Source organism: Homo sapiens, chromosome 4 (assembly GCF_000001405.40).
Source record: "Homo sapiens chromosome 4, GRCh38.p14 Primary Assembly".
NCBI classification, from domain to species: domain Eukaryota; kingdom Metazoa; phylum Chordata; class Mammalia; order Primates; family Hominidae; genus Homo; species Homo sapiens.
This window is the reverse complement of record NC_000004.12, coordinates 5142230-5166714: the sequence shown is the minus strand read 5'-3', so window position 1 is coordinate 5166714 and position 24485 is coordinate 5142230. Positions and strand designations below refer to the sequence as shown.

The following is a 24485-nucleotide window of genomic DNA, read 5'->3' as shown; positions in this document are numbered from 1 at the left end:
AGTCCAAAACCAAGGTGTCAGCAGGGTCCTGCCCCCTCTGAAGGCTCCTGGGGGGATCCTCCTCTGCCTCTTCCAGAGTTGGGCAGCTCCAGCAACCCCTGGTGCCCTTAGCTTGCAGCTGCAGCTCTTCCGTCCTAGGCTCTGTTGTCACATGGCATCCTCCCCTACGTCTCTGTGTCATTCATCTTCTTATAAGGACACCAGTCAGAGTAGACTTAGGCCCACTCTCATCTAGTATGACTTCATCTTAACTAATTACACTTAAAATGACGCCATTTCCAAAGAAGGCCACATTCTGAGGTTCCAGGAGGAGTTGAATTTGGAGGGGTGGGACACCGTTCCATCAAGGACAATGACTATTACTATCCCCGCTTCACAGAGAGAGGAAAGTGAGGCCTAGAAAGGTTTTAGTGCTTTCTCGAGGCTCAACTCAAACCCAGGCTCTCTGCCTCCCCAGCTGTCACTTTTCACCCACAGTGTGGCCTTCCTGAGAAATGGGACACGCCGGCAATAACGCTGTTGGCTTGAGGACCCAGCGAAGGAACTCGGGGTTTTCTCCTGGTGTCACAGCCTCTCTTCTGTTGGAAATTGACCCCACTCAGCTCTGACACGTTGCAAATCTATTCAAGGCAGATACAGGACGATGGCAGAAGCCTGATTTCCGACTCCAGCTTTGGTTCTTTGTGCCTCTCTTGGCCTCAGTCTCCGCATATTTCTGAACTGAGTCAGCAAAACCCACCCGGCACCACTGGGGTGAAACCAAACAGGAGCAGGAAGTGGGAGTGCCAGGCGGCACTGAGGGACGATAAATGTCAACTGCATCTCAATGTATTAGATAGCACGTTGCATGAAATCTCCAAAAAGATGTTTTTTCCACAGAGTAAAATTTACGGCATGAGGTCGAAGGCCCACAGAACACCCATTTCCAGTAGTGAACGTGAGAATATAAAATGCAAGGAGGCAAAGGTATGACGTGCAAACGTACCTCAGGGGTCCTGGCTTTGTGGGAATCCAAGCAAAGACTTCTGGAGGCCCGGGCACCAGGCTCTGAGACCCATGTCTGAAGCCAGACATGTCGTGGGAGGATAATCCCACTAATTAGAATTTGTGGTCTCTCTCACTTCTCATTCGCCTTCTCAGAAGAGACAGCAGGCACTGCCTCTGCGGGGCTGGGACCTGGCTGTCAGCTGGCTGCATCGCTGTGAAAAGCTTAGGCTGGGAGACAGTCTGTGTAGCGTCCCCGGGGCTGCGTCCCTTCAGATAAAGACATCCATGGCGCTTCTGGGTTTCAAGGGACAGCTCTCACCTCAGCTCAGAGACATTTTAGGAATTGGAAGAGACTCTCCAAAATTAAATTAAAACTGGCTTTCAAAGGAGAACTCATGATTTCAATAGAGCTTGGAAGTTTGACTTTTCAATACAAGCAAAAGCAGGCGGTTGATACAGGATATTGGATGCAGCCTGGAAGTTTTGATTTGCAAATAAGAGAGGCCAAGGATCAGGGGTCTTGGCCAGCTTGATGCAGAGACCTGAGTGTGGCTGGCATCCATTCATCATCTGGGCCTTGACTACCTCCTCGGTAAATTCAGGGCTAAGACCTCATGCTATCTAAGGCACCTCAGAAAAATTCTGTTTCTCAGGAACACAGAGCAAAGAGAGCTACACCAGGAGTCAGGAAAACTGGGCTCTGGGCCTAGCCCTCTTGCAGATTGAGTGGGGCTGTGCACAAACCTCAGCCGCTCTGGACTTGCTTCCTCACTGACCAAGAAGGGTTGGTAACAACAGCTTAATTAACCTGACCAGGAGATAGAGGCTAAAAGAGAAAAAAACAAAAAACAAAGAGCTAAGCTAAATCTAATGCACTGAGTGGAGACAAGTGGGTCTCCAACGGGTGGGTCTTCCAGGGAGTCACAGAGTCACAGAGAGTTTGAGCTCAGGGGCTACTCCTGAGCAGGGCTTAAATTCCAGCTGTTTGCTGTGTGACCATAGGCAAGTCGCCCACCCTCTCTGAGCCTCATTCTGCTCATCGGAGATCCTGCTGTTCACCCTGTGATAATACAGTGTAAAGCTAGCAGCCTGCAACCTGGAAAAGGGCCCACTCCAGAATCTGACCATGCTGCCACCTTAATGTGGGACTTGCAGCCTCTAGAACTGGGAGAAATAAATCTTTGTTCTTTTAGACACCCAGTCTGCGGCATGTGTGATAGCAGCCCAGGCGGACTAAGACAGTGCTCTTATTTGGATAGGGGTCTTTGCAGATGTAATTAAGTTAAGGATCTCAGGATGAGATCAACCTGGATTAGGACGGGCCCAAACCAAATGACAAGCGTCCTTAGAAGAGAAGAGAAGGGGAGGAGACACATCCAGGCGGAAGGCTATGTGAGGACGGATGCAGAGGTTGGAGTGATGAATCTACAAGCCAAGGAATGCCGAGGCTGGCCAGCAGCACCAGAAGCTGGGTGATGGCATGGGACAGACCCACCTTCAGAGCCTCTAGAAGGAATCTACCCTGCCCACAGCTGGATTCAAGACTTCTGGCCTTCGAAACTGTAAGATAATAAATTTCCACTGTTTTAAGCTACCTGGTTTAGGAAGTTATCACAATCTATAAGGGTCCACCACTGCCACCCACCAGGGGCTAAATAACCTGGCCAAACACTCTGTAGTCCTCAGTTTCCTCTACTGTGAAATGGGTCTACAGAACCGGCCCTACCAGGTCCACAGTCGGGTCTCCATGGGACAGAGTGGGAAGAGCCAGCCATAGCATGTGGCCCATGCGGAGGAGCAGGAAACACAGGCTGGTGGAGTGAGGGGTAGACTGATGCCTGGAACCAAACCCTTAGCCTCTCGCAAAGTGTCCTCTCTCCATGGGTCCCTGTAAATACAGTGATTTCTGGTAGTTTAAGGTTTAATGTTTGGAATTTCAGAAATAGGGAGAATTTACTGATAGCTTCCAAACTGGCTACCCCACCTCTGCTCTGGTCTCTGCAGATATCCTTTTGCCTGGTGAGAATGTCTGAAAAATCAAAGACTTAAAGCCTGCAAGGGCATTCTTTTGCCTTCAGAAAATGTTTGAGGTCAAGGTCTTGGCATTCAAAGACCTTGTCCCCTCCAACATCTCTCTCTCTCTCTTACACACACACACACACACACACACACACACACACACACACACAGCCTTCACTCTATCTCAAACTCTTTAGAATTTCTTTGAAGAGTTTCTCTATCACCAACCTCTCCTGCCCTTGTTACCTCCTTCCCTGACCTACTGCCACCCAATTTACATCTTTCAGAAACTTCCCTTTAATCCTTGAAGCTGTATGCGGTGCCCTTCCCACTAAGCTGCCATAAATCCTGTTTCTACTGTAAGGCTTGACACACTGTATTATAAATCCCCGTTTTTATCTGGCAGTCAGACTCCAAGCACCCTGCAGACAGAGGCCTTGCCAACTCAGTTCCTGTTCAGGGGCTCACACATGTGAAAGTGTCACCTTCACTCATGACTCTCCACATTAGCATATTTCACGTACTCTGCCTGGAATACCTTCCCTGCAAGCCTTCTCCTGTCCCACTCCTTACCCGCTACTGCCTGACCTCAATGCTTCCCTGGCCCTGACCTCCAAGTCTGAATCCTCAAAGCAGCTGAATTTCATACATGCTCGGTCTATCATGTCCCACATGGCCCAGAGCAGGTCAGTGGTCCTCAGTGATTCCATGTGTACAGTGTAGGAAGAGGCTTCCGTTCTTCCCTGCTCAAAATCCCATGACAACCATGTGATTGAGGGATCTGCTGAAACTGATGTAGCATTTTGGCCTCACAAGCTCACAACAGGTGTTCTAGAAGGAAGCTGAACACTTGTCACCAACAGCAAACTCTATCCAGGTCCTGGGAACCTTCAACTTCAAAATAGAAGAGCTAGGTCTCAAGTGGCACCTCGCCTAAGTTTGGGGTCCTTGGCAGGGCTGCTCAGAGCCTTTTTCCACAGGAAATCACAGTTAATGAGGTGACAGCAAGCAATCTGGCCAAAGCCACCCAAGCTGCTACTGAAAGGCAAGCACCCAATTAACATTCCTCATTAGTCTAACTCAATTAGGACCTGATGTCATCATTATTAATTACAACTTAATGGGACAAATAAATAAATGCTAGCTAGCACGGATTTCAGCTGATTTGCTGTAAGAAAGGCATGCCAAACACACTGAGCATCAGAAATTTGGGAATGGATCCTGAGTCAGTGGAGAAGGTGGCTGGAGCATACTGAGAACCTGCAACACACCTGCACGCGGTGGTCACAGTCCTGACTTTACAGTATATTCCGGGCGCTGACAATGTCGATTCTGCAGCACACCCAAAGCTCTAGGAGGCCCTGGGATTTTGTATTTTTTTAGATGTATCCCAGGGAAGGCTGAAGTACAACCAGAGTTGAGAATGATTTCACTGCAATCTTCAAGAAAGTCCTCGTTCGGTGTCTTCACAGTGTCCTTTATGGTCAGGGCTCTAATCGCTGGTTAGCAGCTCAGGCAACCCAGGCTCCAGGAGGACAGAGGAGTACAGAACAGAGAGGCTAGAGCTGTGCTGGAACCTCAGGACTATGGGGTGCAAAGTCTCGAGGATCCTTTCATAGTGAGCCTGGGCTGCCCTCTTCTCATCTTGCTTACTGGGCAGCTGCGGGTCTGACTCTACCCCATCAACGGGACCTGAGGCAGACACTGGGCTAGTTCTTCTCTGTGCTGCCCATCTCTACCATCCCCCAGCTTGAGAAGCACTCAGTAAATACTGTTGAATGAATAAACAGCTACAGTGTGACATTAAAAGATGCTGGTTATGCTTGCAGGGGCAAGATTCTGGGAAATGACCGATTTGGGGTGGGTGGGGGTAGGGGGAAGAAAAACAATTAAATATGGTTACTAAAGAGATGATCAAGCTGGCTACTATATTGCTCAAATAATTCGCTGAAAGAAGACTATGTTTGGCGGATGAAGCTTTTTACTACCCAATATGCACTCTCCCCTTTTCTCCTTTATAGCAGGACCATTTACTTCAAGAAAGCAATGTGATCCGTTCTATACACACTTACAGCCAGCAACAGCCACAGTTCTAGCCAAGGAGATGTTAGTTTGCTAGAGGTTTCTAGGGAAAGTCTTGCGTTCTGTACAAAAGAGAATAACTACAGATGGTCTCACCTTTTTCTCTTCTCCAACTTTCTTCCTGTCCTTCCTACCTTGAACACGGATGTAATGTCTGGAACAACAGCAGCCCCTTGTGATCATGAGGCCAAGAAAGTCTCAGAGATGCTGAACCTCCTATCATGGAGCCACCTGCCTTCAGATTTCTTGTTATGTGAGAAAAATAAGCCCCTCTTTGTTTAAGCCACCATGAGGCAGGTTTTTTGTCCCTTGCTGCTGAGTCCACAACTGATATACAAATTATGACTTTTCACAGCACATAAATCCCATGTGGGCTCTCATCAATGGTGGTCTCATTGGAGGGATCAAAAGTTGGTCTCAAGAAAAATACTTACTTGGATGAGTATTTCACTCAATAAACATGTATTAGGTGCGTGCCATGGGCCTGGTACCATGTCAGCCATGAGGACATCACTCTCCCCTGGGAACCCGAGGTATAATGGGATAATCAGACAATATGTAGGAGTAAAGGCCAAAGTCCTTCACTGTGGATCCCCAGGCCCTAAGTGGGCTGGCCTCAGTTCCCCTCCTACTCCCCACAGCGACCTCTGCTCCTTCCCTGTACCTGCCATGCTGTTCTCAGGCATCCACAGGTCTTGGGCCCTTGCCTCCTTCAGGCTGTGCTCACAGGTCATGTTACCAACTAAGCCAACTCTGACCTCCCTGTGTGAAGGGGCAAAGCCGTCCCCAGCACCCCAGCCTCCCTCTCTGCTGTGCTCCCATCACAGGACATGCTTCCTGCTTCGTGCATCCATTGTCCACTCCCCCTACTGAGTTGTGAACCCCATGACAACAGGGATTTTTCTCTTACGTTCACTGCATCATCCTCAGTGTCTGGCACATAGCAGGCACCTAGCTGATAACTGTGGCTGAATGAATGAATGAGTCATTACTATTTAGAAAACACACGGGAGAGGTGAGCACATGGGACTAAGGGACCCCAGAAGGGGGATCCTAAACCAGATATGGGATTTGGGAAAGGCAATCCGGAAAAGGTAGCACCTGAACCTTAGCACAGTCACCAAGGGTTGGTCTCATGAGGACAGAGGTGTGGGGAGGGGGAGAAGGAAGGGGGTTACCAGGAGAGGGCACAGCCTCTGTGGAAGTTCAGAGAGATGAGACATGCCGTGGCACGTGTTGACACACTGGTAGTTTTCTCAACTTCCTCATCTGTACAATGGGGATAAGAGTGGTATTTGCCTTAATGGGCAGTTATAAAGGCTCCATGGTAAGCACTGAGTATGCGGTTCATTATGGTTGTGTGATCAGCATCCATCTCTCTTCTGAAGGGCACAGGACATTGTGGAGATGTGCAAAGCGGCCCAAGAAGGGCCTCAGGAACGGGCTCATGGTTGTCTGGTGTGATGGTTAGTTTTCTGTGTCAACTGGGCTGCACCATGGTGCCCAGATATGTGGTCAAACATTCTGAATGTGTCTGTGCGGGTGTTTTGGGGTGAGGTTGATATTAAATTGGTAGACTTTGAAGACAGGATTGCCCTCTGTAATATGGATGGACTTCCTCCAACCTGTTGAAGGCCTGAATGAAGTAAAAGACTGACTTCCCAGGAGAGGAAGGGTTTCTGCGGCAGACGCCCTTCAGACTTGATCTGCAGCTCAGCTCCTTCCTGCGTCTCCAGCCTGACTGTTCATCCTAAAGATTTGCATTTGGCAGCTTCCATAATCATCTTATCAACGAAATCAATCAAACTCCAATAACATATATATATTCATATATATATTCATAAACATTCATATATTCATATATATATTCATATACATTCATATATTCATATATATATTCATATACATTCATATATATATTCATATATATTCATATATATTCATATATATATTCATATACATTCATATATATATTCATATACATTCATATATATATTCATATATATTCATATATATTCATATATATATTCATATATATTCATATATATATTCATATATATTCATTCATATATATTCATATATATACATATATACATATATATCATATATTCATATATATATTCATATATATATTCATATGTATTCATATATATGTGTGTGTGTATATATATATATAGTTACACCCCATTGGTTCTGTTTCACTAGAGAACCTCGAGTAAAACATCTGGTAATGAGCCAGCCAGGATCAGAATTCAGTACCTCAGTTCAACTTCCTACCAGCCTAGGGAGCCACTGTAGCCACCATACTGGCATTTGGCATTTCTCCGTAGTCCCTTAAAGAGTGTGAGCACACAAAGCTCAAACAGCTTGTTACTTGATTCCAAAATACGTTTCCTCAGTCAGCGTACACAGAGAGACTGCACCATGGGGCACCCCCTTGGTAAGCACAGCTCTACGGTGTCCCAGCCGTGCTCCAGCCAAGCAGCCCTGCCCATGGGGAGCTGAGAAGCAGTGTCCTCCTGCCGCTTGTCAGTGAGTTCTAGCCCGTGTTGGCCAAAGCTTGCTGGTATTCACTTGCAACATTGTACAGCTGATGTCACTGAGATGAGATGACAGAGGTGAGTGATGGGGTAGGTGACAGATGGCTTGAATGACATGTTTAAAGGGTTGGTGCCATGGGCTAAGCTGTATGTCCCCCAAATTCATATGCTGCAGTCCTAACCCCTAGCACCTCAGGATGCGACTGTATTTGGACATGGAGGCTTTAAAGAGGTAATTAAGGTAAAATGAGGTCTTTGGGTGGGCCCCAATCCAGTATGACTGTGTCTTGTAAGAAGAGGGATCGGGACAGAGACACACACAGAGGGATGACCATGTGAGGACGCAGGGAGAAGATGGCATCTGCAAGCCAAGGAAAGCGGCCTCGGAAGAATCCAACCCCGCCAATTCCTTGACTTGGACTTCAGCCTCCGGAACTGTGAAAATCAGTTTTGTTGTTCCGCCCCCAACTCTGCAGTGCTTTGTTGTGGCAGCTCGAGCAGACTAACACTGTTGACTTTTGTTCTGAGAGCACTGGGGAGCTGTTTTAAAAGAGGATCCTAAGTATACAATTACGAACGAATGAATAAGGAAAGGAATAAACAAACAACGTGGAGAATTTGCCTTCGGGGTGGGGAGCTCTTTCTGGAAGCAGGTGGAGGGGAACAAAGAGAGGTGATGGTGTGCTTTAAAAATAAGTGAATGCCCCTGCTCACCCACACTGAAGGACATCACAGTGTCAGGAAACTTCACAGCAAGGCAAGGCACAGGGACCCCAGGACCCGCGCTGTGCCACTGGCCCCCTTGGTGCCCTCAGGGTAAAGGGAGCTGGGAAACACTCTGTAGAAGGGCAAAGGGCCTGAGAACACTTGGCTGCTGGATGGAAGGAGACGTCATTATGAGAAGATGCTGAGAAGTGCAGATGAGCAATGAGGTCCACCAAGCTGGTCAGTAATGGATCATCTACTCTGGCCGACGCTTGCAAGCCATTCATGAGTGAGCCTGCATTTCCTGTGATATTTAGCTCCTAATAAAGTGATCCCCAGGAGCTGACACATTCCTCCAAAGTATGCCTCAAGCCAAACACAACCTAATTCATATGAAATGAATAAATATTTCATTAAAAAGAAATGGATTCCAACCTTCATGAAGATGTCTGCATGAACAATGAAGGCTTCTAGTAAATGCATCATTGTTAAGAATTCCAAAGATGATTCCTACATAGGAATAGCAGCTAACGTGAGGCTCAGAGAAGTTAGGCAACTTGACCAGAGTCATGTGGCTGGGCCAGAATTCCAACTCGGCTCTGTCAACCTTTGCAGTCAAAACTGTTTAATAAGCTCTAAGCTAATTAACTCATTCAGTTCCCTACAAAGAGCAACCACACATTCTAAGTCCTCGCTTGTGGCAGACACAGTGCTGGGCACTGGAGATACACAGCCTGCTACATGCTCCACTGCTAACTCTGTTCCTGCCTCAGGACCTTTGCATCTGGTGCTCTTTTGGTCTGTGATGACCTTTTCCCCAGATCCCCACGTGGCCCATTTCTTTCTCAGCAGTTGGGTCTTAGCTCAAATTTCTCCTCTCGGAGAGGCTGTCTCTGTTGCCCTCACCCCCACTGAAGCAGTCCCACCCTTGCAGGTCACTGCACTACACATTTTCTGCAGAGCAGCTATCATCAATGGAAATCATCATACTTATTGTTTATATGTCAGTCTGCTTCTTCTACTAAACTGTCAGTTCTTCAGTGTCAGGAACCTTGTTCAGCTTTTTTTTTTTTTTTTTTTTTACATCCTCACAGGTAGCTAGAGTAAGACCAGGGCAGAGCAGTGATCCGTGAACATTAACTGTTGAACTCAGTATCCTGCCAGGCATTCCAGCATGCTCCCATTATCTTAGAGACCCAGTACCTTGAAAGATCAATAAGATTCTAAAAGAATACATTTTTAAGGAAAACCCTGATAAGCCAAATGCTTTTGAACATTGAACCTTACAAACATTCATCTAAAATCGAATTCCTGCTAATTCCCAAATGGATTTGTTACAGTCTGGGCACTAAATTGGTTAGTCTGCTATTAATCAAATCTTTTTTTTTTCACACTCTGAATTCACATGCAGCTGTGAGAGCCTGCAAAGAGTCTTTCCTTATTCTCATGTGGAATGAGACAAGTAATAATATGCTTGGGTCTGGAAATGATCATCATTGCATAATAAGGCGGTATGGAGTCTGGAATTATCATTTGTACAACTCTTGCTCAAGTTTATCCAGAATCTTCCTTTGAGGGGCATAAAGAGCTATTATCATATAACACTGTGCCATTTTCTGCCATTTTATGTGCAGACTGCCTCCAGCTATCCCATGAATTTTAATTAACTCCACGTTTACTTCACTTTGACCCTGCAGCTCTTCAAGCAGAGGGCCCACGTGCCAATCCAAGAAGACACTTTCGAAGCTCACTCCTCAGAGTCCTCCCAAAGGTATCCTCCTCCTTCCCTCAGAAATAACGAAGCCCTGCTGACTACAGAGTTAACTCAAAGTGGAGCACTTCACCGTGGACGCTCCTGCTGGCTCAGCCATCAAAGGGGTCAAGAGGAGCCAATGGAGAGTGAAGAGTAGGGGCTGGACGAGGGTGAGTGGAAATAGAGGAGTGTCTGTGCGAAGTAAATTTGCATGCAGAGGAGTGGGAGAAACTCACCTCTGCGTGCTAACCCTGAGTCAATCAATATAAACCATGTGTCAAAATCGTATCTGTTGATTGGTTAATTGTTAAGTTCTTCATTCATTTATATTTATTTATTTATATAATATTCATGCATTTATATTATATATGTTATCTGTATCATAGATCAATGTATGTGTATACGCTATATGTGTAAGTGTATGTACATATAGACCACTTCAGTGGTGTATGCATATGTGTATATGTATACACATATACATATGAGTGTGTATATGTATATGTGTATACATATACATTGAGTGTATATATGTATATGCATATACATGTATGTGTATCTATGAATATGTGTACTGTATGTGTTTTGTGGTGGATCTATAGGTATATGTACATATATACTGTTTAGTGGGTATATATATTATGTAGAGAGGTATATATGTATATGCATATCTATGTATATGTATATGCACGTGTACATATTGCTTAGACACTGTGTATATATGTGAACTGTTTAGTGGGTATATTAGTCTGTTCTCACACTGCTATAAAGATACTACCTGAGACTGGGTAATTTATAAAGAAAAGAGGTTTAATTGACTCACAGTTCCGTTTGGCCAGGGAGGCCTCAGGAAACTTACAATCATGGCGAAAGATGAAGGGAAAGCAGGCACCTTCTTCACAAGGCAGGAGGAGAAAGAGAGCAAGGAAGTGCCACACCTTAAAACCATCAGCTCTCGTGAGAATTCACTATCATGAGAACAGCATGGGGGAAACCGCCCCCAGGAACCAGTCACCTCCCACCAGGCCCCTCCCTTGACAGGTAGGGATTACAATTCGAGATGAGATTTGGGTGGGGACACAGAGCCAAACCATATCGGTGGGTATGCCTAATGTATATGCATATACATATGTGTGTCTCTATAAACTGCATGATAGGTAGGTATATGTACATATATGTGCATGTGAGTGTGTGTGTGCATGTATACTGCTTAGCAGGAGCTAGGGATAAAACAGCGAACAAGAGGAAACATTGCTGCCCTCAAAGAGCTTATGTTCTGGTGCATGAGACCCATAACCAAGAAGACATCTGAATAAACACATAATAGAATCACAGGTAGTTTATAGGTGCTATAAAGAAAAGGGGAAGAGAAGGGCAAGGAAATATGGAAGGTTGAGGTGGAGACGAAGAGGGTGGGCATTCTGGGAAGGCGCCACAGAGTGGACATCTCAGCAGAGCCCTGTATGCTATAAGTGAGCCTTGCAAACACCTGGGGGAAAGGTGACTGAGGTGGAGAGAAGAGCAAGTGTGAAGGTTCTGAGGTAGAAATAACTCCAGTGTGGTCAAGAGACTTGAAGAAGGGCTGGAACAGAATGAGCAGGAAGACAGAGAGGATAGAAAGCAGAGTCAGAAAAACAGGCACAGGCCAGACTGCATGACCTTGTGGCCTGGCATGGAGGGACTGGCACATATCCCGAGTGGGAGGGAGGCAGCAACCAAGCAAGCTAATTCATGATTTGCGCACATCCCTGGCTGCTGTCTAGACCAAGAGTTGCTGTCCTCTTCCCTCTCTCACCCGAGCACTCACTAAGCCAGCACTTACTGAGCCTTTACCACATGTTGGGCACCAAGCTAAGTGCGGATGGGCATGACCAGGTCCCAGCCCCTTGGGAATCTCAGTCACATGGAGAAGGCAGATCAGCAGCCCAGAAGCCATGCCTGGCGCTGCTGTGTGAGAGAGATGGTGAGGATGACACTAGGAGCACCAGACACAGGAAGGGCCTCAGTCCCAGGTCTTCTCCCTGGCATGTTCCTCCATGTGGATACCCAGATCCTTCTAGAACCCACCAAGCCAAGTAAAATCCTAGCCATGCTGGCTTCAAGAAGACATGGAAACCAGTCAAGCTCGGTGGTTCACGCCTGTAATCCCAGCACTTTGGGAGGCTGAGGCTGGTGGATCACCTGAGGTCAGGAGTTCAAGACCAGCCTGACCAACATGGTGAAACGCCATCTCTACTAAAAATACAAAATTAACCGGGCCTGGTGGCACATGCCTCTAATCTCAGCTACTTGGGAGGCTGAGGCAGCAGAATCACTTGAACCCAGGAGGGAGAGGTGGCAGTGAGCCAAGATCGTGCCATTGCACTCCAGCCTGGGCAACAAGAGCGAAACTCTGTCATGAAAAAAAAAAAAAAAAAAAAGACATGGAAGGCATTTGAAAAAGGCCATCCAGCCATAGATTAGTAGGACTCTCAAATTCCATTATTATTCATGCTTATTCTTTCATCAATAACATACTGTCTCAATCATTGTAGGTTCACAGTACATCTTGATATTGGGTAATATACCTCTACAACTTTGATCTTGTTTTACAAAATTGTTTTAGCTCTTCTAGATCCTTTACTTTTCATATAAATTTTAGAATCTAGTATAGATAACTATAAAAAATCTTCTGTGACTTTGATTACAGAACCAAAATCAAATCTGTATATAAGTTTGCAGAGAATTGCCATCTTAATAAAAATAAATATTCCAAAGCATAAACATAGTTTTTTATATTGACTTTGTATTCTTCAAGCTTGCTATACTCATATTTTCATTCTAGTAGACATTTTGTAGTTTCTTTGATGTTTTCCATGTAGAAAAAACATAAGTCTGTGAATAGAGACAGTTCTGTTTATTCATAGTAAATCTGTATGATTTTATTTTCTTATTGTAATAGCTAGGACATTTGTTGATGTGTATAGGTGTGGCAAGAGTCATATCTTTGCCTTGTTTCTACTTTGGAAAAGCATTTAATCTTTCAGCATTATATAAAATGTTTTTGTATGTTTTTGGTAAATGCTTTTTATCAGGTCGAGAGAGTTCCTTCTAGGCCCTACTTTCTTTAGAGCTTTTTTTTTCCACCAATGAATGTTGAAGTTTACCAAATTAAAAAAAAAAAAGGAAAGAAAAAGGCCATCCACACGCCAGGTACCATGCTGAGGGCTGAACATTGTTTGCCCCCTTATTCTCACATAAGAACCTAAAGTCCATTATCCATTATAATCATTACTTTTTCTCAGAAGACAAAAGGGAGGGTTGCAGGAGCCACATGATTGGTCCAAGTTTCCATGACTGGAAGAAGCAGGCTCTGACCCAGAGCCAGACCTCCCCAATCTGGAAGCCTGTACCCTTTCCTCTATGCCCTGTTGCATCCAAAACCAAATGTCTGTCATTGGACACTGATGGACATTTTCCTCCTGACCCCACTTGTTTCCAGCAGATGTGCCTGTGATAGAAGCCAGTTTCAACGTCACTTCTGTATCTGGGAGGGACATTTGAAAATAAAACAGGCTGTGCATGGCAGTGGGGTCCTCTCCAGGACGCGGATTCATCATTTGTAAAACGGGGATAATAACATCCATCATACTGGGCTATTAGTGGGACAAGGTAGACAATGGGTCTCCAGTTGCCAGGACCATCACTGTTAGTTTCTGATTAGTCAGGACTCTTTAGGTGGCAAATACTGGAAGCCCAACATGATCTCACCGAGCAGAAAACAATGTTAGTTTCTATAGCTGGTAAGGACAGTGGGTAATTCATGGGAATAGGAAAATAAGAAGGTGGCAGTGCTGCTGTGTCCACCCAGGTCCCTCTCATCACATCCACACACCTCAGGCTTACTATGACACCTGCAATGGCCTGCAAAGAGCAAGCCAAAGGTGCAGGACAGGCAATGCTGCACGGGCAGCCCTCCACTGTCACCGAATGAGAACTGCGTATCCACGCATTAGCTTTTCATCTACAGCCACCAGACACACACTCTGCACTGTCTCCTGACATCCTCCATGGAAGTAGGCTCCAGAAGCCCACCGGGGTGAGTGGCTTGATCAGAAACCCTTTATTGGCTGCCTTCCTTTCTCTGTCTCACTCCTCCTGTCTCACAAATATTTCCTGGGATCATCTTCAAATAAACAGTTTGCACTAAATTCTTTCTCTCAAAATCAACTTCTGGAGGAATCCAAGTGAGAACAGTTATCAACAGAGCCAGGACCAGGGTGAGGCTAGTGATGTGTCCAGGTTGCAAAATACAAGGAAGCAAGTGTCAAGCCTGCATCTGCAAAATTTTAGAAAGCAAGGCACATGTTTAACTCAGTTGCCTCACCTTAATCTCAACCTTCACCAACAAAACGCCATCTCTTCACCCACCTCGTATATCTGTTTCTGATTCTTTGCTTTAAGCTTCATTCTTTTCTTCTACAGATAAACCTTCACTTCATCAATTGCTGACGAAAATGACCAAAAAAATGCAGACCTGTTTTCTTACAGTGCATGATAACTGAGAGCAAGTTTTTCACCTCTGATTCCACAGAAGGTTTCTGAATGGTTGGACTTGGATCACATGGCGACACCTTGGACCAGGCACTATGTCTGGCTGAATATGGTCCATGTGGCTGGCACAGGCACATCATATGGTCATCTCAAGTGAATTGGGGACCACAGTGACATGAGGAGGGGGCGGTGTTCTCCAAGGGGAAGGAATGTCATTATAATAAGAAAAAGGGATCCAAAAGCATGCTGGAGAGTCAAAAACAGTAGCCCCTCCAGTGTACTATGGTTCTCCATTCCCTTTCCATTTTACAGATGAGAACACTAAGCTGCAGAGAAGTTAATTTGCTTTCCTAGGTATCCACCACTAACATATATTAGCATCAGCCTGACTCCAAAATCTAAATTGTTTCCACTGGTTATATAGAAATTAATGTGGTGTGCCTCAACTGTCCCAGAATTTAGTCATAAAATGGTTATTTTAAATGTGAGTAAATTATTGCTAAAAATCAATGGATTGCCAGCAGTTGTTTACTTTGGTGCTACACTAGGAGGCACAACTTCTTCCAGCATGACAGTGAAAAGATTTCTGTGAATTCACATGTGTTCTTTCCTGATAACCAAGGCTATTATCATAGTTTAACAATGAAATGTCTTTCTGGAAAACTCTTAATAAATGTCAGGTATCAAAACTGCCAAAGACAGACAGCAAAGCCAAAATATTCATTCAATATTAGGAGGATGGTTTTCTTCATCTTATGCCAGCCTCCCTCCACCTTAACTTTAATAATAGTCATGTAGACTTCACCTGCATTTATTATGAAAGGCAGTGATTATTTAGCATTTTAACCTGAACAAAGCTATGCTTTATTCCCTTAAAGCAGGTTAACCTTGTGCTGAATACTTGACATTTGTGTACATTCTATATGAATTTGCGTGTCATCAAGAAATTGCTACAACCCAAAAGCAACTTAGAAATAGACCTTCTAGAAAGCTTATATTTCTCAAAAGATCCATTAAATTTTCAACGGATGATGACAGGCTATAGTCAATTTGAAAATCTTGAGGCCACACACTAACAGATTTGGTAGTATGTCCTAAAGGAACACAAAAGGTTCAGGAACAAAACTCTCAATGACATGGGGGGAAAGTGGTATGCCTCTTTGTGATGCTAACTTTGTCGTGGATTGAAAAGGAATGCCTCAATTTTCCTGAAGCCATAAAATCTCAACATTAAGATGAGACACTACTCTAAAATATTTTTGTTTTGTTAAGTTCAGCCACTGTTCATGAGATTATGGGCAAACCTCCTAACTTCACTGGGCTACAACTCTTTCTGAGAAATCCAAGAGTATCCAAGAGGAGAAATCCAAGAGTATCCAAGAGGAGAACTCCAAGAGTATCCAAGAGGAGAAATCCAAGTGGAGCCTCAAATGTGGTAAATAACCTCTGACCAAATCTACTGCTGACTCCTAAAGATCACAGACATAGAACAAGCTGAAAGCAGTCCAGTTAAGAAAAAAAAAATGGACTGAGATTCATGTGCCTGCCAAAGAGGCAGAATATGCAATGTAAGTCCAACCAAGTTAACTGCTTGTTAAAAATATGTTTTTAAAAAACACAGTAGAATTCAAAGTTTCTACAAAATAACACCCACAATGTCCAGGATGTAAGACAAAACTACTTAATATATAGAACCAGGAAAATGGGACCCATCCTCAACAGAACAGATAATCAGTGGAAGTGAATCTTATGATGACCCAGATGTTGTAATTAGCATAAGGACAATAAAGCAGTTGCTATGACTATGCTACATGATATAAAAGGTAATATGACTGAAATAAAGGAAAAGATAGGAAACCTAAACAAAGCAAGAAAAACTATTTTTTTAAGTCAAGAGTTTCCACCTATGCATACCATAGGAAAACTTCTAAAAGTCAAATTTTAAGGGACTTTTTGAAAGGAGGGAGACAAAAGTGACACATTACATACTGGACAATAATGATTCAAAGTTTAATGACTTCTCATCAGAAATTCTGAAAGTTAGATGACAACAAGACAAAATCTTTAAAGTAATGGAAGGAAAAACACCTGTCAACCTAAAAATCTGTATCCAGTAGAAATATTCTTCAAGAAAGAAGGAGAAATAAATATATTTCAGATAAAATAAAATAAAGAGAATAAATTAAGAGGAGACATGCCCCACATAAAATACTAAAGGAAATTCCTCAGGCTGAATGGAAATGATACCAGAGAGAAACCTAGATTTTCCTTAAAAATATGAATAAATATCAAAAACTATTTTCCTCCTAATTTTTAACAGCAAAATCTTACACCTAATAGCAATATATTCATTATTTCTATTTAATTATACATATATATTTTTAAAGCAAAAACTATAACATTGTATTAGAGATTTATAATTTAAGAAGCTGCAATACATTTGACACCTACACTATAAGGACAGATAGGGTGGTAGATGGGCCTCTACAGTTGTAAGGTTTTCACATTTTATGTAAAGTGTAAAATATCAACCCTCAGCAGACTGTAAAATAAATTAAGAATGTATAGTATAATCCTTTAGAGCAACAATTTTAAAACATAATACTGGAACGTATACTTACAAAGTCAATAGATAAATTAAAACATAGTTTTAAATATTCAACTAATCCACAGCACTACAGGAAAGAACAGAGACAAGAAAAAAAGAAGAGGTAAGAAGAAAACAAATAAAACAACAATAGACCAAAATCAAACCGTTACATGAGCTGTGCATGAACTAAACAATACAACTAAAAGGCAGAATTGTCAGAATGGATTTTTTTAAAGCAAGACCTAACTATACGCTGTCCTCAAGAAATTAATGTTAAATATAAAAACAAAGAATGAAAATAAATGCATAGAAAAACATATGTCATGGAAACAGTAAGCATAAGTAGGTTAGAACGGCTATATAAATTCATGTGTAAATCCTATCAAACATTTTAAAAAGTAACACCAACTTTACACAGCGTTTTAAGAAAATAAAGAAGAAAAATGTCTGAACGCAATAAGCATAAGTAGATTAGAATGGGTACTCTGATCTCAAAGAAAATAAGTTTCAAAATAAAGAGTACTAGAAGAAAAAGAGAAGGATATTTTATAATAGTAGGGACAATTCATCATAAGGAAATAATCATAAATATGTATGCATCTAACAACAAATCTCAACGTATAAGAAGCAAACATTGACAGACTTAAAGGAAGAAGAAATAATTCCACAATCATAGTTGGATATTTTACACAACTGTCCAGAAATAAAACAACTAGATTTTAAAAATCGGCAATGACACGGAAGCTCTGAATAATATTAACTACTTTGACTGGACTAATATTTACTGAATCTTACACCTAACAACTTTTAAATACACATCCTTTTCAAGTGGGTATACTGTGTTTACTAAGGTAGATCATAAGTTGGGCATAAAATGAGTCTCAATTAATACAAATGAATTGAAATTGTAGAGTATGTTCTTGGACCACAATGAAAAAAATTAGAACCAATAACAATAAAAAAGCTTCAAAGACCAAATATTTGGAAGTTAAACAACACATAACTAAATAATTCATGGGTCAAAGAAGCAATCACAAGGGGAATTATAAAATATTATTAACTAAATAATAAAATACAACATATCAAATTTTGGGGGTGTAACTTAAGCAGTCCTTAGAGGAAAATTTATAGCTTAAAATGCTTATATTAGAACAAAATGTCTAAAATCAATGACCTAAGGTTCTATCTTGAAGAGCTAAGATTATAAACTGATGAAGAAAATAAGAGAAAGAAGGCAAACTGCTAATATCAGAAATGAAAGAGAAGTTACAACCACAGACACTACAAAAATTAAGAAGATCCTATGATAATATCATGAATTACTTTGTGCCAACAAATTTGCCAACATAGAGAAAATTGATTAATTTCTTGAAAAATATAACTTACCAAAAGTTATATACGAAAAAACACAAAATCTGAGTGCCTTATATCTACTAAAGAAGGTAATTTTGTAGTCAAAAGCCTTACTAGAAAGAAAACTCTATACCCAGATAACTTCATTTGTAAAACCTATCAAACATTTAAAGAAGTGACACCAACTTTACACAAGTGCTTTCAGAAAACAGAGAAGGAAAATGACTGAACTCATTTTTGAGACTACTATAACCCTGAAAACAAATTTGATGAAGATATTACAAAAAAGCAGACTAATATTCCTTATGAATGTGATGTAAAATTCTCTAATAAGATATTGGCAAATCCAATTCAATAAAACATAAAAAGAATAAGGTATCATATTCAAGTGGGATTTATCTCAGTAATACACAGTTGGTTTAAAATTTGGAAATTAATGTAATTTAGCATAGTAACAAAATATGGAGAAAAAATATGATCATTTCAACCAATGCACAAAAAGTATTTGATAGAATTCAGCAAGACATGATAAACACTTACAGAAAACTACAACTAAAAAGGAGCTGCTCAATTTGATAAAGAGCATCTCTGAAAAACTTACAGGTAAAGATGTTCTTAATGAAGAAAGACTGAACACTTTTTCCCCTAAAATTAAGAACAAAACAATGATGCTTGCTCCCACCACTTCTCCTCAATATTGTACCGAGGGTTTTAGCTACTGCAATAAAGATTTAAAAAGCATAAATAAAGGGGAGAATAGGTAAAACTACTTTTATTAGCAAATAGAATGATTGTTGACAGAAAATCTCCAGAATACTACAAAACAACTATCACAACTAATTATTTAATTAGCAAGGTCTCAGGGTGTGAGATTAAGATACAAAAATTTTATTGTATTTTTATACCTACTAGTAAACAATTAAAAACTAAATTAAAAACAATTTCATTACAATAGTGTCTTCCCCCTGTCCCCCGTACCCCCAAAAAACTTCATCAACTATTTGGGAAAAACATTAGTGCAAAAAAGGGCAAAGCCTCTACCCTAAAAATGACAAAACATCACTAAAATAGACTTTTAAATACCTAATAAAAATAGAGATAAATAAAGAGATATACCATGTCCATGGATTAGAAGACTCCCTACTCTTAAGATATAATTATTTCCAAATTGATATACAGATTTGACCAATTGTAATTCCACAGTTTTTTGTAGAATTGATAAGCAACTCCAAAATTTGTATGAAAATCAATGATCTAGAATATCCAAAACAATCTTGAAAAAGAATAAATGTGGAGGACTTATACTACCTGATTTTAAGACACACCAGAAACCTGCAGTAATTAAGACAGACTAGTACTTGCATAAGGATCAACAAATAGGTCAAATGTACAAAACCGAGAGTACAGAAGAAGACATACAAATCATCTAATTTTTCATATGAACCCCAAAGCAATCTGTGATGGTTAATATTAAATGTCAGCTTGACTGGATTGAAGGATGCAAAGTATTGGTTCTGGATGTATCTGGGTATGTCTGTGAGGGTGTTGCCATAAGAGACTGACATTTGATTAAGTGGACTGGGAGAGAAGACCCATCCTCAGGAAGACCCACCTGCAACACGGGTAGGCACCATCCAATCGGCTGCCAGTCCAGCTAGAAAAAGCAGGCAGAAGAAGGTGCAAGAAACTGACTTGCTGATTCTTCCAGCCTTCATCTTCCTCCTGTGCTGGATATGCTTTCTGCCCTACAACATCAGACTTCAAATTCTTCGGCTTTTGGATTCTTGGACTTACACCAGTGGTTTGCCAGGGGCTCTCAGGCTTTCGGTCACAGACTGAAGGCTGCATTTTCGGTTTCCCTAGTTTTGAGGTTTTGGGACTCGAACTGAGCCACTACTGTCTTCCTTGCTCCTTAACTTTCAGACGGCCTATGGTGGGGCTTCACCTTGTGATCATGTGAGGCAATTCTCCTTAATAAACTCCCCTTCATATATACATATATCCTATTAATTCTGTCCCTCTAGACAATCGTCGTACACAATCCAATAAACAAAAGAAATCATTTTCAAGAAACTGATGTCCATACTAGGGAAAAAAAAAAAAACAACTTGACCCTACCTCACACCACACAAAAAATCAAATCAAAATGAAGTATAGAACTAAATTTATAAGCTAACTCTATAAAACTTTTAGAAAGTAAACATAGAAAAATATCTCTGTGAATTGAGTATGTTTTGGTGAGCCAGGTTTTCTTATACAAATGGCATAAAACAATGGCCCTAAAAGCAAAAGCACTCAACAAATTGGATCTTATCGAAATAGAAAACTTTCATGTATCAAAACACACCACTAATAAAATTAACAGGTAAACCAGTCTGGTTGAAAACAGTCTCATGTCTGACAAAAGACTGGTATCCAGATATGTATCCCACAATTAAATAAGACAAACAACCCATTTTTTAAACAATAGCAAAAAATGCAATACAAATGAATCTCAAAAACATTATGCTGAAAAATTTATATAAAATGTAAAACATTATGAAGCTTTAAACAAAAGACTATATATTGCATGATCCCATTTTATACTAAATTTTAGAACAGGCAACTCTAATCTATAATGGATGGAGTAGTTGACTTTGAGAGAGGTTTTGACAGTAAAGGGTCAAGAGGGGACTTTTGGATGGTGATATTCTATATTTTGGTATGGGTTTAGGTTACTCAGATGCATTTATTTCTCAAAAGTCAATAAATGTAAGTTTAAGATGTGTTCATTCTGTTGTATGTACATTTTACATCAAAAGAAAAACTACAGGCAAATCTCTAGGCTGAAATATTTAAGGAGAAATGTACAAATATTTGCAATTTGCTATAAAATGCATCAAAAAATAAGATGGATTGATGTGTGGGTAGAAGGATAGGTATTTCATAAAATAAGTTTGGTAGAATGTTAATTGGGAATGGAGGTGGAAGACATTGGTGCTTAATGTAAAATTCTTTCACCTTCACTGCGTATTTGCATGTTTTCATACTAAAATAATGAGAAAAAAATCATATGGGTATGCAGTCAACCCTGCCCTTGACAGCAAGGGCATCACAGCTTTTGAAGTTTGAATTAGGCATCCTCCACTCCATCCCTGTACACCCATAAACTATGAGTGTTCCTCCCCTACCATGCTTTTCAGAGTGGACTATAGTTGACTGTTTATTACTCTGCCTCCTGCATGTATCTGAGAGATCCTCAAAGGCAGGCACCATATCTGGTTTACTTTTGTAACCTCAGTACCTAGAATAGGGCCCAGAGCAAATTGGTCCTCCGTATGTTGGATGGATGGATGGATGGATGGATGGATGGATGGATGGATGGATGGATGAGTGAATGAGTGAATTAACAAATGAACCTAAGCTGCCTGATTTTATATAAACTCCACACAAACTTCCAATAACCAGACAAGACACAGACTTAGAGAAAATACAAAGACAATGTCAGTGCTAAGCCCAGAGCTGTACAGTTTCCAAGAAGAATGAGTGTCATGCAAGATCATGAGTCTTGCCAGGCCTTATCCCACCATTTATCAGCAGTGACAGATGTCACATGGTGAGATATTCTGGGAACTTAAGTATACACAACAGCCCTGCCTGTCCCAGTACCATATTTGTGTCCAGACAGGTCCTCCTCCAAGCAAGAAATCTTCACGCCACAAACTGCCAAAAAGCACATTCAGTTAAAGTCTCCCTTCCTCACTCCCTGCTGCGTAGGGGAAAGAGAGCCTTAAGCAACAAAAGAATCAACATTTATTGAATATCAGGTTGGATTCTGTGCTAGACACTCTACTATACCATCTCATTAACCTCTCACAACAGCCCTATGCAGAAGACACCAATATGCCTATTTTACAGGTGAAGACACAGAGACTCAAAGTGCATGCATGAATGGCATTTGAATCCTTGTTTGTCCAGTTTTCAAGCTGCTTGCTCTCTGTGTTGCGCCACACTGCCTTGCACTCTCATCAACACTTGCTGAGCTGAATTCCCAGTGGTGGTAACTATCCCAAGGGAAATTTGTGTCCGCCCAATGTGTTATGTAAGAATGAGCTACTCCTTATAAACACTGACTAGCCGATCACTCCTCTGGCAACCACTCTAAAGTAGAGGCCCAATTCCAGCCGGGTCAGGGGAGTAGGTGGAGGTACAGATGGTGAACTTGCTTCAAGGGGGAAAATGTCATTGACATCACAACATCCTGGCTGGTGGAGGCTGGAGTGGGCATTCAAAATACAAGTTATTGATTGGAGACACTTTTTTAGAAGGGTGCTAATGGAGGAAGAAGCCAGCATGAATGATGGAAGGTCAGGGACAGAAGTAAGGGGAAGCTTTGCTAAGATCCACCTTCTGGATCCTTCCGGGTCCTCATGCTGGCCAGTTTGGAGGGAGGGAATTCTAAGGGATAGTGTGAGTGCCAGGCAGAGAGAACAGCAGGCTAGGAGCAAGGGCCTGTGGAAAGACAGTGGAGGCGAGAGGAAGGGCTGAGAGGTGTGTCTGTGAACTGGTCCTGAGATCTGTTTATCAGTCTGCAGGACCATGTGGCTCCTCTCACCATACAAGGGAAACTTCAACTCTTCACCCATACAATCCAAGCCTTGAGAACTGAACATCCTCCCTTCCTGACCCACAAGGAAGTGTGAGAAGGAGGAAGTGAGGGGCTGGTGTGATGCGTGGGCTCCAGAATAAAAGCAGGCATGGGAGGCTCACCAGGATCCAAAGTGGCACCTGTCAGATATACAACATGATTTCTGAATAATCATTTGCAGAGAGTCAAAAGCACCAAGGAGACAAGAGTAAACTCATGTGAAACAGTTTGCTGTACATGTGAACTCTTTTCTCTTTGGCTCTTTCTAGAACCCTCCTTCTCCCTACCTGGGCTGGAGCCTGCACATGCTCTTGTTGTCCCACTATTGTGCCATGTATCAGTCAGGGTTTTCCAGAATACAGAACCAACAGAATATGGACAGATAGACAGACAGATAGACAGACAGACAGACAGACAGACAGACAGAGACAGAGACAGAAACAGATTTATTTTAAAGAACTGGTTCACACAACTGTAGGGGCTTGCAAATCTGACTTCTGACTTTTACAGGGCATGCTGGCAGGCTGGAAATCCAGAAAAGAGTTGATACTGCAACTCCAGTCCAAAGGCCACCAGGAGGCAGAATTCCTCCTTCATCAGGGAAGTCAGCCTTTTTCTCCTAAAGTCTTCAAATGGTTGGATGAGGCCCATCCACATTGTGGAGAATCAACTTCTTAACTCAAAGTCTACTGATTTAAACATTAATCTCATCCAAAAAAATACCTTCGCAGGGACATCTAGATCGATGTTTGACCAAACATCTGGGCACCACGGCCTAGCCCAGTTGATACATAAAATTAACCATCACATACTGTGTCATAATTTACTGTTTTTTATGTCTGATTTTTAAAAAAGATTTCTGCCCTCAACAAGTTCCAAGTCATGTCAGGAAAACAGTGTCTAATGGAGCACATGGCCCCTTCAGTGGCCCAGTGAATGTCTGTTAAATTATCCAGTGACCCAATTCACTTGACAACATAAATGCCCAACACTGTTAAATGTGCATATAGCAAAACTCAGGAATGAGATTCTGAAAAGGCAAGAAGCTCTGTGGTGCCTCCATGTGCCTACAGTGAAGTCTGGATTGTGTAGAAAAGACAAATTAAAGTTGCAGAACTTGGCACAACTCAATATCATTCTGGTTAGTGAATTAATACCAAATGTGTCGTGTTTAGAAAGGTTTCTGTAAGAAGGTCCACATAAGTAAAAGAGAAGCAGAAATCATCAGAAAATACTCCCCAGGGAAGAAGAGATTTTTCCCAGGAATAGAGTTGACCATTGAATATATTGGTCCATACA

General features: G+C 41.9%; 1 protein-coding gene across 7 annotated transcripts in view, besides 2 other annotated features; it reads right to left on the bottom strand.

Moving 5' to 3' along the window:
* The window catches only part of STK32B (serine/threonine kinase 32B), a 481604-nt gene that overhangs the window by 334275 nt on the left and 122844 nt on the right, over window positions 1–24485 (bottom strand). The gene's annotated exons all lie outside the window — the stretch shown is intronic.
* Window positions 170–1369: an enhancer, noted in NCBI's record as "CDK7 strongly-dependent group 2 enhancer chr4:5167073-5168272 (GRCh37/hg19 assembly coordinates)". NCBI's record gives its function as "activates an origin of replication core promoter dependent on BRD2, BRD4, P300/CBP, MED14 and CDK7 cofactors, with strong dependence on CDK7, by STARR-seq in HCT116 cells {active_cell/tissue: HCT116}" and the evidence as "EXISTENCE:reporter gene assay evidence [ECO:0000049][PMID:35650434]".
* Window positions 12060–12561: an enhancer, noted in NCBI's record as "H3K27ac hESC enhancer chr4:5155881-5156382 (GRCh37/hg19 assembly coordinates)". NCBI's record gives its function as "activates a minimal SCP1, AML or CMV promoter by ChIP-STARR-seq in naive H9 embryonic stem cells {active_cell/tissue: H9 hESC(naive)}" and the evidence as "EXISTENCE:reporter gene assay evidence [ECO:0000049][PMID:30033119]".